This window comes from Homo sapiens, chromosome 8, assembly GCF_000001405.40.
Source record: "Homo sapiens chromosome 8, GRCh38.p14 Primary Assembly".
NCBI classification, from domain to species: Eukaryota; Metazoa; Chordata; class Mammalia; order Primates; family Hominidae; genus Homo; species Homo sapiens.
The window spans coordinates 5,835,642-5,851,035 of NC_000008.11; the positions used below are offsets into that span (position 1 = coordinate 5,835,642).

The following is a 15,394-nucleotide window of genomic DNA, read 5'->3' on the forward strand; positions in this document are numbered from 1 at the left end:
TAGGTCTATACAATTTTCCTCCATTCAGGTGTGCCTGATGCCTTTCTCATAAGGAGACAGGAGTTTTGCAGCAGGAGACCTCAGAGCTGAAGTCCCCTCTGATCACGTTGTATCAAGTTTACAATTTCTCTATTGTAAAGTCAGTGTTTCCCTTGCCATACCGCATTCTTTGAAAATAAGTCACCAAGTATAAGCCATATTCGAAGGAGGGGATTTGAACTCCACCTCCAAGAGGGAGTTGTTTTAACAATATGATTTAGAATTCTTTTGTAAGGAAGGGTTGTCTTTTTCCTCCAGTTATTTATCAACCTTTTATTTATATCAGCAGGAACGTCATTTCATGCAATGGGATATCCATCTGACATAGCAAAATAAGACCAGATCAAAATGTGTATTCTAATTCATACAAAGATTTAAATGTAAAAATAAAAATTTGCTGTAAGTTAATATGGGCTAATTATTGTATAATGGCAAAGTGGCAAAGGCTTTTTGAAGTATAAAAACGTAAGTGGGTGAAGCTGGAAACCGTCATTCTCAGCAAACTATCGCAAGGACAAAAAACCAAACACCGCATGTTCTCACTCATTGCTGGGAATTGAACAGTGAGAACACATGGACACAGGAAGGGGAATATCACACACCGGGGCCTGTTGTGGGGTGGGGGGAGTGGGGAGGGATAGCATTAGGAGATATACCTAATGTTAAATGACGAGTTAATGGGTGCAGCACACCAACATGGCACATGTATACATATGTAACTAACCTGCACGTTGTGCACATGTACCCTAAAACTTAAAGTATAATAATAATTTTAAAAAGTAAGTGGTGTTAAAAAAAAAAATGTATAATTTTGGCTGGGCACAGTGCCTCACGCCTATAATCCCAGCACTTTGGGAGGCCAAGGCGGGCTGATTGCCTGAGCTCAGGAGTTCGCGACCAGCCTGGGCAACATGGTGAATCCTCGTCTCTACTAAAATACAAGAAATTAGCCAGGCATGGTGGTGGGCATCTGTAGTCCCAGCTACTTGGGAGGCTGAGGCAGGAGAATTGTATGAGCCCGGGAGGCAGAGGTTTTAGTGAGCCAAGATCGTGCCACTGCACTGAAGCCTGGGTGATAGATTGAGAATCCATCTCAAAAAAAAAAAAAAAAAAGTAATTTCACAATATACAAAAAAGATTAAGAGCTAGGATTCACAAAAATACCATATGCAAAGTCTAAAACCATAGTACAAACTAGGGATATGTACCAGCTTATACATAAATGTCTCATCTTCTTAATGTGTATTAATGCCTTTTAGATATAAAGAAGTGAAAGAGAAAAATATTATAGAAAAAATGGCAATAAGCCTAAGCAACTATTTTACAAAGAAAATGTTGCTTAAATATATGAAAATTTGCTTATATTCTGGATGTCAGAAATCCCTATTGAAACTACAATGAACTCCTGTTTTCCAACTATTGAATTAACAAAAATTGAAAATTTGACAATGGACACTGTTATCAGGGGTCCAGAGAAGTAAGCACTCTTCTGCATTTGCCTTGGGAGTGCAAAATTTTCCATAGCATATGTGAAGAAATTCATTAATATTAATGGAAATAGGCTGGGCTGGATTTCACACCGGAAATCCCAGCACTTTGGAGACAAGGCAGATGGACCATTTGAGGTCAGGAGTTCAGGACTAGTCTGGCCAACATGTTGAAACCCCATCTCTACTAAAAATACAAAAATTAGCTGGGTGGGGTAGCATGTGCATATAATCCCAGCTACTTGGGAGGCTGAGGCAGGAGAATTGCTTGAACCCAGCAGGCAGTGAGCTGGGCTTGCACCACTACACTCCAGCCTGGGTGACAGAGTGAGACTCTGTCTCAAAAAAAAAAAAAAAAAAAAAAAAAATGAAATAAAGAATGTATTTATCCTTCAGCACAATGATCCCTCTTCTAGGAATTTATTCTACAGACATATATTTACAAATACAAAGGCGACAAATAAACAAGTTTGATTAATGCAGCATTTCTATTATCCAAAAATAAAGGATTTATGATAACACAATTCTGATATATTTTATAATTCATACCAAAAATACAGTTCATAAACCATAATACAAAGTAGGTTTTATGTCAAGCTTGTTAATATTTCATTTTAGTTTCTGTAATTTCAGTGACTTTTTGCTAGTCTTATCTATTGAGAACTGAGAGAGCTTTGTATAAGTCTCTTGCTAAACTAGCTTCCAGAGGATGGAAATGCAGTCGATTTTTTAAATAATTCAGTGACTACTAAATTATCTTATTAGTGTAATAACCTGTGAGATATTTTGAATTTCTTTATACTAACATGCAATGTGTTTTCCATCTCTCTTACTGATTTTCATAATTTTATGAGAAGAGGCTTCTGTTATGGTTAACTTTATGTGAAAACTTGGCAAGGCCATGTGCCCAGTTGTTTGGTCAAGCACTAGTCTAGATGTTGCTGTGAAGGTATTTTTAAAATGTGATTAACACTTAAAATGAGTTGACTTTAAACAAAGCACATTCTCTTCCATAACACAGGTAAGCCTTTAGTTGAACTCCTTAGCAGACTGACATTTCCCGCAAAAGAAGGAGTTGAACCTCCAGACCACAGCATGGAAATCCCACCTGAGTTTCCATTCTTGGGACTTGAGACCACATCATTTCTCACCTGAATTTCCAATCTGCTGGTTTGCCCTGGGGATTTCAGATTTGCCACCTTACATTCATACGAGCTCAAACGTCTGTGCGTGCGTGCGTGTGTCTGTCTGTGTGTGTGTATAACGATAAGAAACTAATACAACACTCTTGACCTTTCTAATTTAAAGGAAATGCTTGAAACCTTTTATTAAAAATTAATTTGCAATCATATTCTTACAGTGTTTTATATTTTGAAACGTTCAATTAGTCCCTTTCTAAGGTGATATTTTGTTTCAATATCATCTTTGAAAGAGATTAAATGGAGGGGTTTTAGTTTAGAAAAAGCACCAAGATTCTTAGTATCATAACTTTCTTTGCAGAATCCAGTAAGATATTAATGAATCTAAAGATATATATTTTACTCCTATTTATCTTTGGTTTTTCAAATTATTTTTCTTATAGTTTTGCGTAAGGTGAGGGGTTTTATCTGGGTTAGTAAAAAATGATTTCCAGCAAACATTGAATGTGGTAAAATTCAACTGGGTCAAGAAGACTTAGCCATAACTTCCCTTCAAGCTAAATACATAATAAAATATGTGTAAATATGTGTAAAATCACCTGATTCATAAATTCTGATTGCTGACAATACTGAAATACATTTATTAAATCCTTCTAGACTTTATTTTTTTAAAGCGAGATCATTATATAATTTAAATGGCTTATTTGTGATATCTAACAAAATAGAAACTTAAATGGTTTGTGTGTTGCCTGTAGTATATTTCTATTATATAGAGGCCCATTAAATATATTTCAAAGACTACTTAATGTTATTTATAAATGTTAATCTTTTTTCCATCCTTCATGATGCTAAATAAGGAAGTTTATAAAAATATTTTAAAACTTTGTCATTCCCCACTTATAGCGCAGTTGACTTCTTTAACTACTATTATTCTACATAGTTTGATCCTATGTTATCTTCTGTACTTTGCATTCTACTGAAATTACCTGAATGTGTAATTACTTATTTAAAAAATGTCGTAAAAATGGTTTTTTGAAAGTAACTAGTGGAAAAATTTTCTTTGTCACATTCGAAGTTGCTTTTGCAAATGTGTTTATAATTCACGTGTCTACTAAAATCTTTTTAAATGGTTTAATTTTAACTTGATATTATACAAAATCATTATTCTTCTTGTAATCATCATCAACATCATATCTCATCTCTAATGAGTATTCATATACTAAGGAATGTGTCCACTCCTTTATTGCATGTTCACTTTTAATTTACAAAACAATTTTCTGTAAGTTAAGCACTGCTGTCATGCCGGTTATCGGAGGAAAAAACTGAAGCCCGGGGACTAGGCAAATTGTTCACCATCAGAGTGTTTGTAAGTGGTGAGAGAGATCTGAGTCCAGCTATCTGATTCCATAGACCCAGCTTTTAGCCACTGCATTACACAGTCTGTTGAAATACCTGGTCCTTGCCAACATCAAATCCTCATTCAAATGTCTGTTGGCCAATCAAATTGTAGAAGCATCAGTGTGTGGCTCTGTTTGTTTTGCTATAAACTATCCTCATGTTAACCTTACTCTTCTTTTTCTTAGGAAAAAAAAAGTTTATTTAAAAGATTGTGACTGATATATAGTTGTTGTTTTTTTTCCATAAAAGAGGTCACAATAATGAATAAGCTGAAATTTGGGGCCATGAAATCTTCAGTATCAAGGAAGTTTAGCCTTGACATAGAAACCAAGACTGAAAGAGATGGAGAGGAGCTTGGAAGGGTGGCCAATCAGCCCATCAGTGTAGGAGGAATTGGCTGCAATCAGCAATTTTCTGTGACCATAAACAGACGTCCAGGATAAACTTATTCTTTGTTGTGAATGCCCATGGTATTCCTTCATAGCCTTAGAAACACAGTTCATTTCAGCAGTCATACCACTATATTATTTTAGTAGCATTTATTATTTCACTTGTATCAAATATTTCACTATTGAAATCCACTGGAAGATTCTATCACAGAGTGCCAAAAGCAAAGAATAAAGAAGGATAAATGATAATACCACCATAGGAGCAAAATCTGTAGAATTGTTTTAAAAATACTTGTAAACAGGACTAGAAGACATATTTAGTGAACACATCTAGGAAGTTATGCCAGCGTGTTAGGATGTGGGTGTAATGAGGTTTAACTCCCTCGATTCCATCACATCTGGTCTGCTATAGATAACTTGTTCATTCACTCTTCCTATCCTATATTTTTAAGTTTTTATTTTACTGACTCCTTTACACCAGCATTTAAATAAGGTCAACACTATTTGATCCTAAAATCAACAACAGCCAGAATTTTGAACTGTACAATTACTTCTAACTTCTATCTTAGATCTCCAACCCATTCATAGCAAATCTTTTGAGAAAGTTGTTTGCACTTATTTCACCATTATTATTATTTTTTCAACCTCCCATTCATGTCTTTTCCCATTATAACCTAAATTTTCTCCAACACTGTACTGGTTTCTGCCATCACACACAGTGATATCGAATGCAGTGAGAAATGTTTCAGCAATTATATTTCTTGATGTTGAATTATGTTTTTCTCCTGCATTCATCCTTGTTAATCACTATTTTCTTTTAAAAGTATTATCTGGCATTGCTTTTCACGACATCACACTCTTACGGTTGTCATTCCTTCTCTCACTCTGAGCCTTAAACTGATTTACGTGTTTCTCACCTAGATTATTGCAGCACACTGTCTTCTTAAGTACAGTAATAACTCTCTTTAAATATGACCAAGGTATCCTTTCCAAGTATAAATGTAAGTATGTATTTCTTATACATAAAACATTTACTGTAAAGTCTGAATAAAAATATTGGATAACTTCTTTCTTGCTTGAGTAATTACATTGATTAAGAACCTTTAATTAATTTACTTTTAAACATTTCTAAAATCTTAAGAAAATTATTTTCACTTCATTTAGATTCGGTTCCCTCATGTGCAAGGTGAGGAATTTAGATTACATTCGAGGTTTTGAAGTCTGGCTTCTCAAATTTAATGAATTAGGAAATGAAATTTAACTTCAGTATTTCAAAAAGCCAAATAGATATTGCATATCTATTTCCCAGTAATTGGTTCAAACTATAATATATGTTTTTATTTCTGTTTATATCATGTTAAACACAATAATATAACATGTTAAAAATGTTACATATGTTAAATATAATATCTGATTAAAATGTTCAGGTATCCAATGAATATTTTGAAACCTTATAATTTGTTATTACTTGTTAGGCTATTTTGATATACATACTGTTTTCAAAAGAAAAAGTCAAAGTCAGTGAAAAAAAGCAAAAAGCTGTGTGATAGTCAATAGTGAAAAATAAAATTATATCCGTTCTGTGAGCCTTTCTAGGTATAAATACTATAACTCTAAACTCCTAAATGAGTTAACATCATCAAAATTCAAGAAAATTAATAGAAGACTTTCATGTCACTCAAATGACAGCAAAAAAGTCCCCCTATGTTTCTTCATGTTTGTTGTTAATGGGCACTGCTTTGCTCACCATAAGTAACTATGACAGAGCTGGATATTTAGAGGAAGACATACATGGATGAAGATAAATTAAAATCAGATGTTTATTTTAGTGATATGTTGACCGTCTGATAAAAATGATAAAATTAACTATTTCCTCTGTGTAGTAAAGAATTGGCTAGCCTTTGATGTCAGTTCCTGGGAGGGAACTTCTAAACCTTGAGATTTCAAGAGTGATAGGAGTACCTTTATACTCATGGAAGAATCCTGGACCACAGCTGACAGGTTATGCTAATAAGATGACCCATGACTAGGACTGAGACTGGCTACTGCAGTGGTCCCAGGGTGGAGTCGGGCCACACCAGAAAGACCATTCATGTGACTGGAGGGTTGGACTTTGATCCCTGTAAGGCGACATCAGCCTGGATTCTGGGGAGGTGAAAGCACTGGAGTTTGAGTTCAACCACGTGGGCAGTGATCCAATCAGCCGCATCAACCCAGTAAGACCCGATTACAAATGCTGGACACTGGAGCTCACCTGAGTGTCCTGGCCTGGTGTACTCCATGTGACCGTTGCCACGCAACAATGTCAGGAGGGTAATGCATGACTGAGGAAACAGGAGATCCATGTTTAGAACCCTCCTAGTCTCAGGTTCTACCCTGTGGGTTTCTTCCTTTGACTGCTTATGATTTATATCTTCCTCCTGATATAAAATTGTAAGTATAAGTATAGCACTTTCTGAAGTTCTGTGAGTCATTTTATTCAACTACCAAAAATGAAGACGTTTATGAAGATGTCAACATTTGCAGCCAACTGGCCTGAAGTGAAGGTGGGCCTGGAGACCCCTGAAATTGCAGCTGGGGTCAGAATCTTAGGTATATTTGGCAGTTCGGATGACTGTGAATTTTAAGTTCAAGATTGGCTAAATCCTGTTAGGGTCTTTGATCAAATATTAAGGTATTAACTCCTAGTGCATTCCTGATGACTCAAATGATAGAGCTGATAAAAGTAAGCACAGTAAAACTTGCATTTCTGAAAATAAGTATGACTGTAATTTTTAAGCACATTGAGTGTTACAGGAAAAGAGAAATATCTGGTTAATACAACCCAAAATAGAAAGCTTAAGCTGGGACAGCTTTTACAATCTTTTCTTTTATAAAAAACAAAATCAAAGCAGAAAATTTTATACTAATTTCAGTAGTGGTGAAAAGCTAATTTAATGAAATTTAATGATCTTTCAGGGTTAAAACAAACATTTTCCAAAAAATAGAAAAAAAATTTGTTGATAAGCTGCATCAATTAAATACCTACCAGTAATATCAAATTTCTGGTTGAAATATTGAGCACTCTCTTCCCAAATCAAAAACATTATATTGATGTTTACTTTCCATATAATGTGTGGAACTTCTGCTAAACATTGAACTGGTCATCACAGCTGATGTAGTAAGGCAAGGAAAAAGTAAAAGGCATAAACCTGAGAAAAAGAAGAAAGCTGCAGAAGATATGATTTGGTAGTTGCAAAATCCATAGGAACAGTCAAATTCCCAGTGGAAATTACTATATGTAAATGTGATACAATCACAATATGAAAACATTGTATGTCTATACTCTAGTGACAATTAGAAAATGAAATTTTAAAATACATCTTACAATGAATCAGAAATACCAAATACCAAATTTGACAAAACTTGTTTACAATCTATACATTGGAAATGAAATAAGTAATTGCTAAGAATTTTTTACAACACCTAAATAAATGGTTTTGTCATGTTTGTAAATTGTAGGACTGAATATTGTACAGATATCAATTATCTACAAATAATTGTATGAAGCTTCGGGAAGCCAAAACAAAATTCCAAAAAAATTCATAAAAAGTACAAAGGTGATACTGTACTGTATATGAAAATGCAAAGACCTGGAACAGTCAAGACATTCTTAAAGAATAAATTTGACAGATCACTAATTTCAAAAATTAAAATAAAGCAACAGTAATCATGACAGTGTTACATTAGTATCAAGATAGACAAGAAGATCAATGGAAGGCAATAGGACCAATATAGATCGACACATATAAAGTCCATCGATTTTCAACAAATGCATTCATGCAGTTGCAGGAGGAAAGGAAATCATTTCAGCAGACAGTGCAAGAAGAGCTAGAAATTCATACGGGAAGAAATTAACCCTGACCCTAACCTCATAGCTGTATAAGAATTTATTCAAGATGAGTCATAGGACTTAAATACAGGACTTACAGAAAATATTATGTGAGAATACCTTTGATATTCTTCAGAGTTAGCAAATATGTAAGACACAAAGAGTACTAATCATGGAAGAAAAGATGACAAACTGGACTTCTTCAAAATGAAAAGAGCACCTTTTCCTTATCAAATAATATCACTAAGAGAATAACAAGGCAAATTATTACCTGGGAGGAAATATTGTCAATAGCTATACCTAAACAAGAATATACATATAAATCCAGCAGACTGATAGTAAAAGGACACACACTCCATTAAAACTTGACAAACCTTTGAGCAGACATAGTAAAGGTGCTCAACATTATTGTTCATCAAAGAAATAAAAAGTAAAACAAAAATGCAATTATTCATAGCTAAAAATGGCCAAATGAAAAAGATTGACATAGACAATGTCAATTGTCTATGTCAAAGTGTTGGTGAGGATAAAGAGCAACCAGAAACCCTCCTCAATTGTTCATGCAAATGTAAGCTCTTGTAAATCCTTTGGAAAACCCTGGAAGATTTTAAATTTCCCTCTAATCCAATAATTCTACTCTGAGTTCTTCACCCAAGAAAAATAAGAGCATTTGTGCACAAGCCTACAAAAAGACTTGTGGCTTGTGCACACATGTCCACAGAACTTTTTTCATTGTATCATTTTCTTTTTTTTTTTTTTTGAGATGGAGTCTTGCTCTTGTCACCCAGGCTGGAGTGTAGTGGCGCAATCTTGGCTCACTGCAACCTCCACCTCCCGGGTTCAAGTGACTCTCAGGAGCCTCAGCCTCCTGAGTAGCTGGGATTACAGACAACCACCACCATGCCTGGCTAACTTTTGGACTTTTAGTAGAGACGGAGTTTTGCCGTGTTGACCAGGCTGGTCTCAAACTCCTGACCTCAGGTGATCCTCCTGCCTTGGCCTCCCAAAGTGCTGGGATTACAGGCATAAGGCACTGCACCCAGCCACTTTATCATTGTATCTTATACTGAAAACAGTCCATATATTCATTGTATTAGTTCATTCTCATGCAGTTATGAAGAAATACCCAAGATTGGGTAATTTATAAAGAAAAAAGATTTAATTGATTCACAGTTCTACATGGCTGGGGAGGCCTCAGGAAAGCTTACAATCATGGCAGAAGGCACTTCTTCACAGGTGGCAGGAGAGAGAATGACTGCCCAGGGAAGGAGAAAGCCCCTATAAAACCATCAGATCTCATGAAAAGTAACTCACTATTACGAGAATAGGATGGGGGAAACTATCCCTGTGATTCATTTATGTCCACCTCATCCCTCCCACAACATGGGATTATAGGAACTACAATGCAATATGAGATTTGGGCAGGGACACGGTCAAACCATATCGTTCTACCCTGACTGCTTCCAAATCTCAGGTCCTTACACTTTAAAACACAATTATGTCCTGCCAACAGTTCCCCAAAATCTTAACTCATTCCAGCATTAACTCAAAATCCAAGTCCAAAGTCTCATCTCAGGGGGACAAGGAAAGTTCCTTCCACTTATAAGCCTGCAAAATCAAAAGCAAGTTGGTTGCTTCCTAGATACAATGGGGTACAGGCATTGGATAAAAATACCCATTCCAAGTAAGAGAAATTGTCTAGGACAGAGGGGCTGCTGGACCTATTGCAAGTCCAAAACCTAATAGGGCAGTCATTAAATCTGAAAGCTCAAAAATGATCTTTGACTTCATGTCTCACATCCAGGTTATGTTGATGCAAAACGTAGGCTCACATGGTGGTGGGCAGCTCGGCCCCTATGGCTTTGCATGGTACAGCCCCACTCTCAGCTACTTGTACAAGCTGACATTGAGTGTATGTGGCTTTACCAGGAACAAGGTGCAAGATGTTGGTGGATCTACCATTCTGGGATTTGGAGGACAGTGACTCTCTTTTCACAGTTCCACTAGTGGGCAGTCCCCAGTGGGTACTCTGTGTTGGGGCTCCAACCCCACATTTTCCTTCCATGCTCCACTAGCAGAGATTCTCCATTAGGGCTCTGCCCTTGCAAAAGACTTCTGCCTGGACATCCAGATATTTCCATACATCCTGTGAAATCTAGGTGGAGATTCCCAAACCTCAATTTTTGACTTTTGTACACCCACAGGCCCAATACCACAGGTAAGTGACCAAGGCCTGGGGCTTACACCCTCTGAAGCAATGACCTGAGCTCTGTATTGGCCCTTTTGAGCCACATCTGGAACTCAGGGTACCATGTCCCAAGGCTGCATAGAGCAGGGAAGCCTGGGTCCAGCCTGCACGACCAGTTTTTCCTCCTAGGCCTCTGGGCCTGTGATGCGAGGATCTGCCTTGAAGGAGAGATTTTCTCCATTGCCTTGGCTTTTGTTACTTATGCAACTTTCTGCAGCCAGGTTGAATTTCTCCTTTATTGTTTTTTATCACATCTCAGGTGGCAAGTTTTCTAAACTTTTATGCTTTGTTTCCCTTTTGGATGTAAGTTTTAATTATAAACCATGTCTTTGTGAATATATAAAACTGAATGCTTTTAACAGCAGTCAAGTTACATCATGAATGCTTTGCTGCTTAGAAATTTCTTCCACCTGATACCCTAAATCATTTCTCTCAAGTTTAAAGTTCCACAGTTTTGTAGGTCAGGGGCAAAATGCCACCAGTCTCTGCTGAAACATGGCAACAGTTATCTTTATTCCAATTCCCAACAATTTCCTCATCTCCATCCTAGACCACCTCAGCCTGGACTTCATTGTCCATATCACTATCAGCATTAAATGGTCAAAGCCATTGAAGAAATCTGTAGGAAGTTTCAGACTTTTCCACATTTTCCTGTTTTCTTTTGAGTCCTCTAAACTGATCCAACCTCTTCCTGTTACTCAGTTCTAAAGTCACTTCCACATTTTCAGGTATCTTTATAGCAGTGCCCGACTCCCAGGACCAATTTACTGCCTTAGTCCATTCTCATGCTGCTATGAAGAAATGCCCCCAACTGGGTAATTTATAAAGGAAAAAGGTTTAATTGACTCACAGTTCTGCATGGCTGGGCAGGCCTCAAGAAACTTACTATCATGGCAAAGGCCCCTCTTACACAGGGTGGCAGGAGAGACAATGAGTGCCCAGTGAAGGAAAAAGTACCTTATAAAACCATCAGATCTCATGAAAACTAACTCACTATTGTAAGAACCAGATGGGGGAAACCACCCCTGTGATTTAATTATCTCCACCTGGTTCCTTCCACATGTGGGGATTATGGGAACTACAATTCAAGGTAAGATTTGGGTGGGGACACAGCCAAACTATATCACCCATCAACAGGAGAATAACCCAAGTTTCTACATTTATACTATTTAGCAAAAGAAAAGCAATAAGTTTATAAGACATGAAAACACATAGATAAACTGCAAATAACTTTTGTTGGATAAAACAAAACATAGATGAAACTAATCTGTATTAACAAATCAAATAGAGTTGCTTATGCACTGGTAGTGACTAGAAAAAGAAATTAGAAAATATTTAGAAGTGGTAGAAATGGACTATATCTTGACACATGTTTTGTCACCTGAGTGAAAATGTTTATTAAAATTCATCTAAATGTCCACTTAATAATTAGGAATTTTACTGATATCACAATAAAATATTTTTAAAGTACTTTGAAACTAAATTCATAAATTATTTACATATGTGAATAACCATCTGAGTTAGTAAAATGTATCATTTATCTAACTTAAGAAAAACTGTACAGCATATGTCTTGGTTTATGTATTTCCATTTTCAGCTCAGTGTTTCTAAATTAAATATTTTAAGGTAATTTTTTTACAACAAAAATACCTAGAAATAACCAAGGAGTTGAGAGAGCTATACAAGGAAAATTACAAAACACTGCTGAAAGAAATCATTTTTGACACAACAAATGGAAATACATCCCAGGCTCATGGGTAAGAAGAATCAGTATTGTGAAAATAACCATCTGTATGGCCTAAAACAATGTACGAATTCAATGCAATTCCTATCAAAATATCAATATAATTTCTTTTTGAGATGGAGTCTCACTTTGTCATGCAGTCTGATCAATGCAATTTTTTACAAAATTAGAAAAATTCCTAAAATTCAAATAGAACCAAAAAAGAGCCCAAAGAGCCAAAGCAATCCTAAGCAAAATGAAAAACAAAAAAAAAAGTTGGAGGCATCAAATTACCCAACTTCAAATTATACTACAAGGCTATACTAACCAAAACACTATGGCACTGGTATAAAAGTAAATACCTAGACCAATGGAGCAGAATAGAGAACCCAGAAATAAAGCCAAATATTTACAACCAACTGATCTTTGACACAGCAGACAAAAACATACACTGGGGAAATGACACCCTCAAGATACGGTGCTGGGAAAATTGAAGAGCCACAAGGGGAAGAATGAACTATATTCGTGACTCTCACCATATATAAAAATTATCTCAATGTGGATGAAAATGTTAAATTTAAGACCTGAAGCCATAAAAATTCTCAAAAAAATTCCTAGGAAAAACTTTTCTGGACATTGGCCTAGGCAAATAATTTGACTGAGAACCCCAAAGCAAATTCAACAAAAACATAAATAAATGGGACCTAATTAAACTAAACATGTCTGCACAGCCAAAGATTTAATTATCAACGAATGGAGCAATGGCGACCTTTGTGAGTGAGCTGGAGGTGGCCAAGAAGAACTTCAGTGAGGCCCTGGGGGACAACGTGAATCAATACTGGGCTAACTTAAGCTGTGGTTCAAGCGGAAGATCAGGAAAGAGGACTTTGACCTTGAAACTCATAGGTTTCTTACATAGGATAATATGCATCCTCACAATGATTTCCTCCTGGCCATTCTCACGCATTGTCAGATTTTGGTTTCTACATCAGAGGGTGCTGGATCTTTGCCCTGGATGGGGGGTTCTGCAGCAAAACCTGGAAAGCCCAATGGAAAGAAAAAGCTTTCTTCTGTCAGAAATTTGATCATAGATTTCAGCCTCACAGTCCTTTCTCAAGAGCCCAGTAATTTGTGGCAAAAGATCCCCAAGATGATGATGATTTGAAACTTTGTTCCCACACCATGATGCTTCTCATTCAAGGCTGGCTTGAAGGGAGAATGACAGTGACTGCTTATGAGCATGGGCTGGACAATGTCACCGAGGAGGCTATTTCAGCTCTTGTCTATGCTGTGGAGAATCATCCTAAAGATATACTGACATCAGTTGTGTCAAGAAGGAAAGCTTATCGGTTACGAGATGACCATTTTAAATATGCCTTTGGCAGTAATTTGACCCCACAGCCATACCTGAAGAATAATGTAGTAGCTTAGAACAACTTAATATAAAGCCCTCAAGCTTTTACTGCTCCCTGTGCTGGTCAGAATCCGGCTTCTCACCCACCTCCTGATGAAGCCGAGCAGCAGGCTGCATTCCTTCTGGCATGCTCTGGAGACACTCTATCTGCATCTTTATCTGCAGCGAACATGTATGAACTTTTTGAAGCTCTGCGGGTACACAGGGAAGTCATACCTACACATACTGTCTATGCCGTTAACATTGAAAGGATTATCATGAAAGTCTGGCATCCAAATCATGAAGAGCTGAAGACAAAGTTCACCACCAGTGCTTGGCAACCAAGGAGGGGCTTTTGCTGTGCTAAATGAGGATTTGAAGGTGCGGGACTCTCATCAAATTCATTGATTACTGAAAATTGAATTTTAGTGGGGGGGTCTACATTTCAAGGCTGAAGTGTATGGTATATATATAACCGTTCATATGGAAATGAGACAATGAGTACCTTTTGTGTTGCTCTTGTGAAGCCACTAATATAAATCTTTGGTAATGACCCATATCTCTATATGTATGTGTTCCTAGTTGTGGGAGCAGGCACTAATGAAATCCTGTGCCTGGAATGGAGATATTTCGGTACCTGAGGCTTAGTATCTTGTGGTCTGCATGTAAGATAGATGACATCCTAGAACAAAGAAGCTGTTACAACTTAGTCCCCCTGATCAGCAGGGCATCTCTGTATTCAGTGATGTCGTACATTCTGTATCTAGAAGTCTAAAATTTCTGCCTTTCTCTTAAAGGATGTGCTCTTGCATTTTGCTTTAAATAACCTACACAGTTTTAAAAACCAGATACCTCCATTATTGATCAGTTTAATTTTTAATAGCTATACGTAACCCCTGAAAAATTTATCACTATAACTCCATGTGAAATATGACTTGGAAGTGCTCTGTGTTACTAAACAAAATAAAGTCCCTCTGCATTTAAAACCAAAATCAAAACAAAACTCTTGGAATGCAATTAATTAACTCTATGTCTTCCCATGACTCAAGTTTTGTTAGAGTTAGTATGCCCAAAGAATTTGATTGGCAGTCTCTTTGGTTAATTATTCATATAGAATATATTTTAAGAAATGTATACAAACTTGATATATGCTTGGTAATTCCCCTGTTTCTAGGAGGTACCTATTTCTACCCTTTCAAGTGATAAAGTGGAAATAATTTACATTCGACAGTTTCACTGATAACAAACCTAGGTTTTTTTTAAGAGATATGTTGCTTTTTACTTAAGGGATAGCGCTGATGATAAATTAGTATATATACATATAGGTTTGCATAGGTCTAAATAATGGCTTTATAGATATGTATATATGGTTCACATATCTGGTTCTGTGTATTTGATTTTGTACTTTAAATGTGACAAACCTTTTGGGAGAAAAAAGATTTAATTATCAGTAAATAGGCAACCTACAGAATGGGAGAAAATATTTGCAAATTATGCACCTAATAAAGGACTGATATCAAGAATCTACAAGGAATTCAAACAAACCAGCAAGGAAGAAAAAAATAATCCCATCAAAAATTGAGCAAGTGATATGAACAGACATTTCTCAAAAGAAGATATACAAATAGCCAACAAACACATTTTTAAGAATGCTCAATATTACTACTCCTGAGTAAAATGCAATTGAAACTACTATGAGATACCATC

At 36.4% G+C, this 15,394-nt stretch overlaps 1 pseudogene; it reads left to right on the forward strand.

Annotated features, from left to right (window-relative positions):
• LOC392180 (transcriptional adaptor 1 pseudogene) lies at positions 13,050-14,249 on the forward strand (annotated as a pseudogene).
• The last annotated feature ends 1,145 nt before the right edge of the window (positions 14,250-15,394 follow it).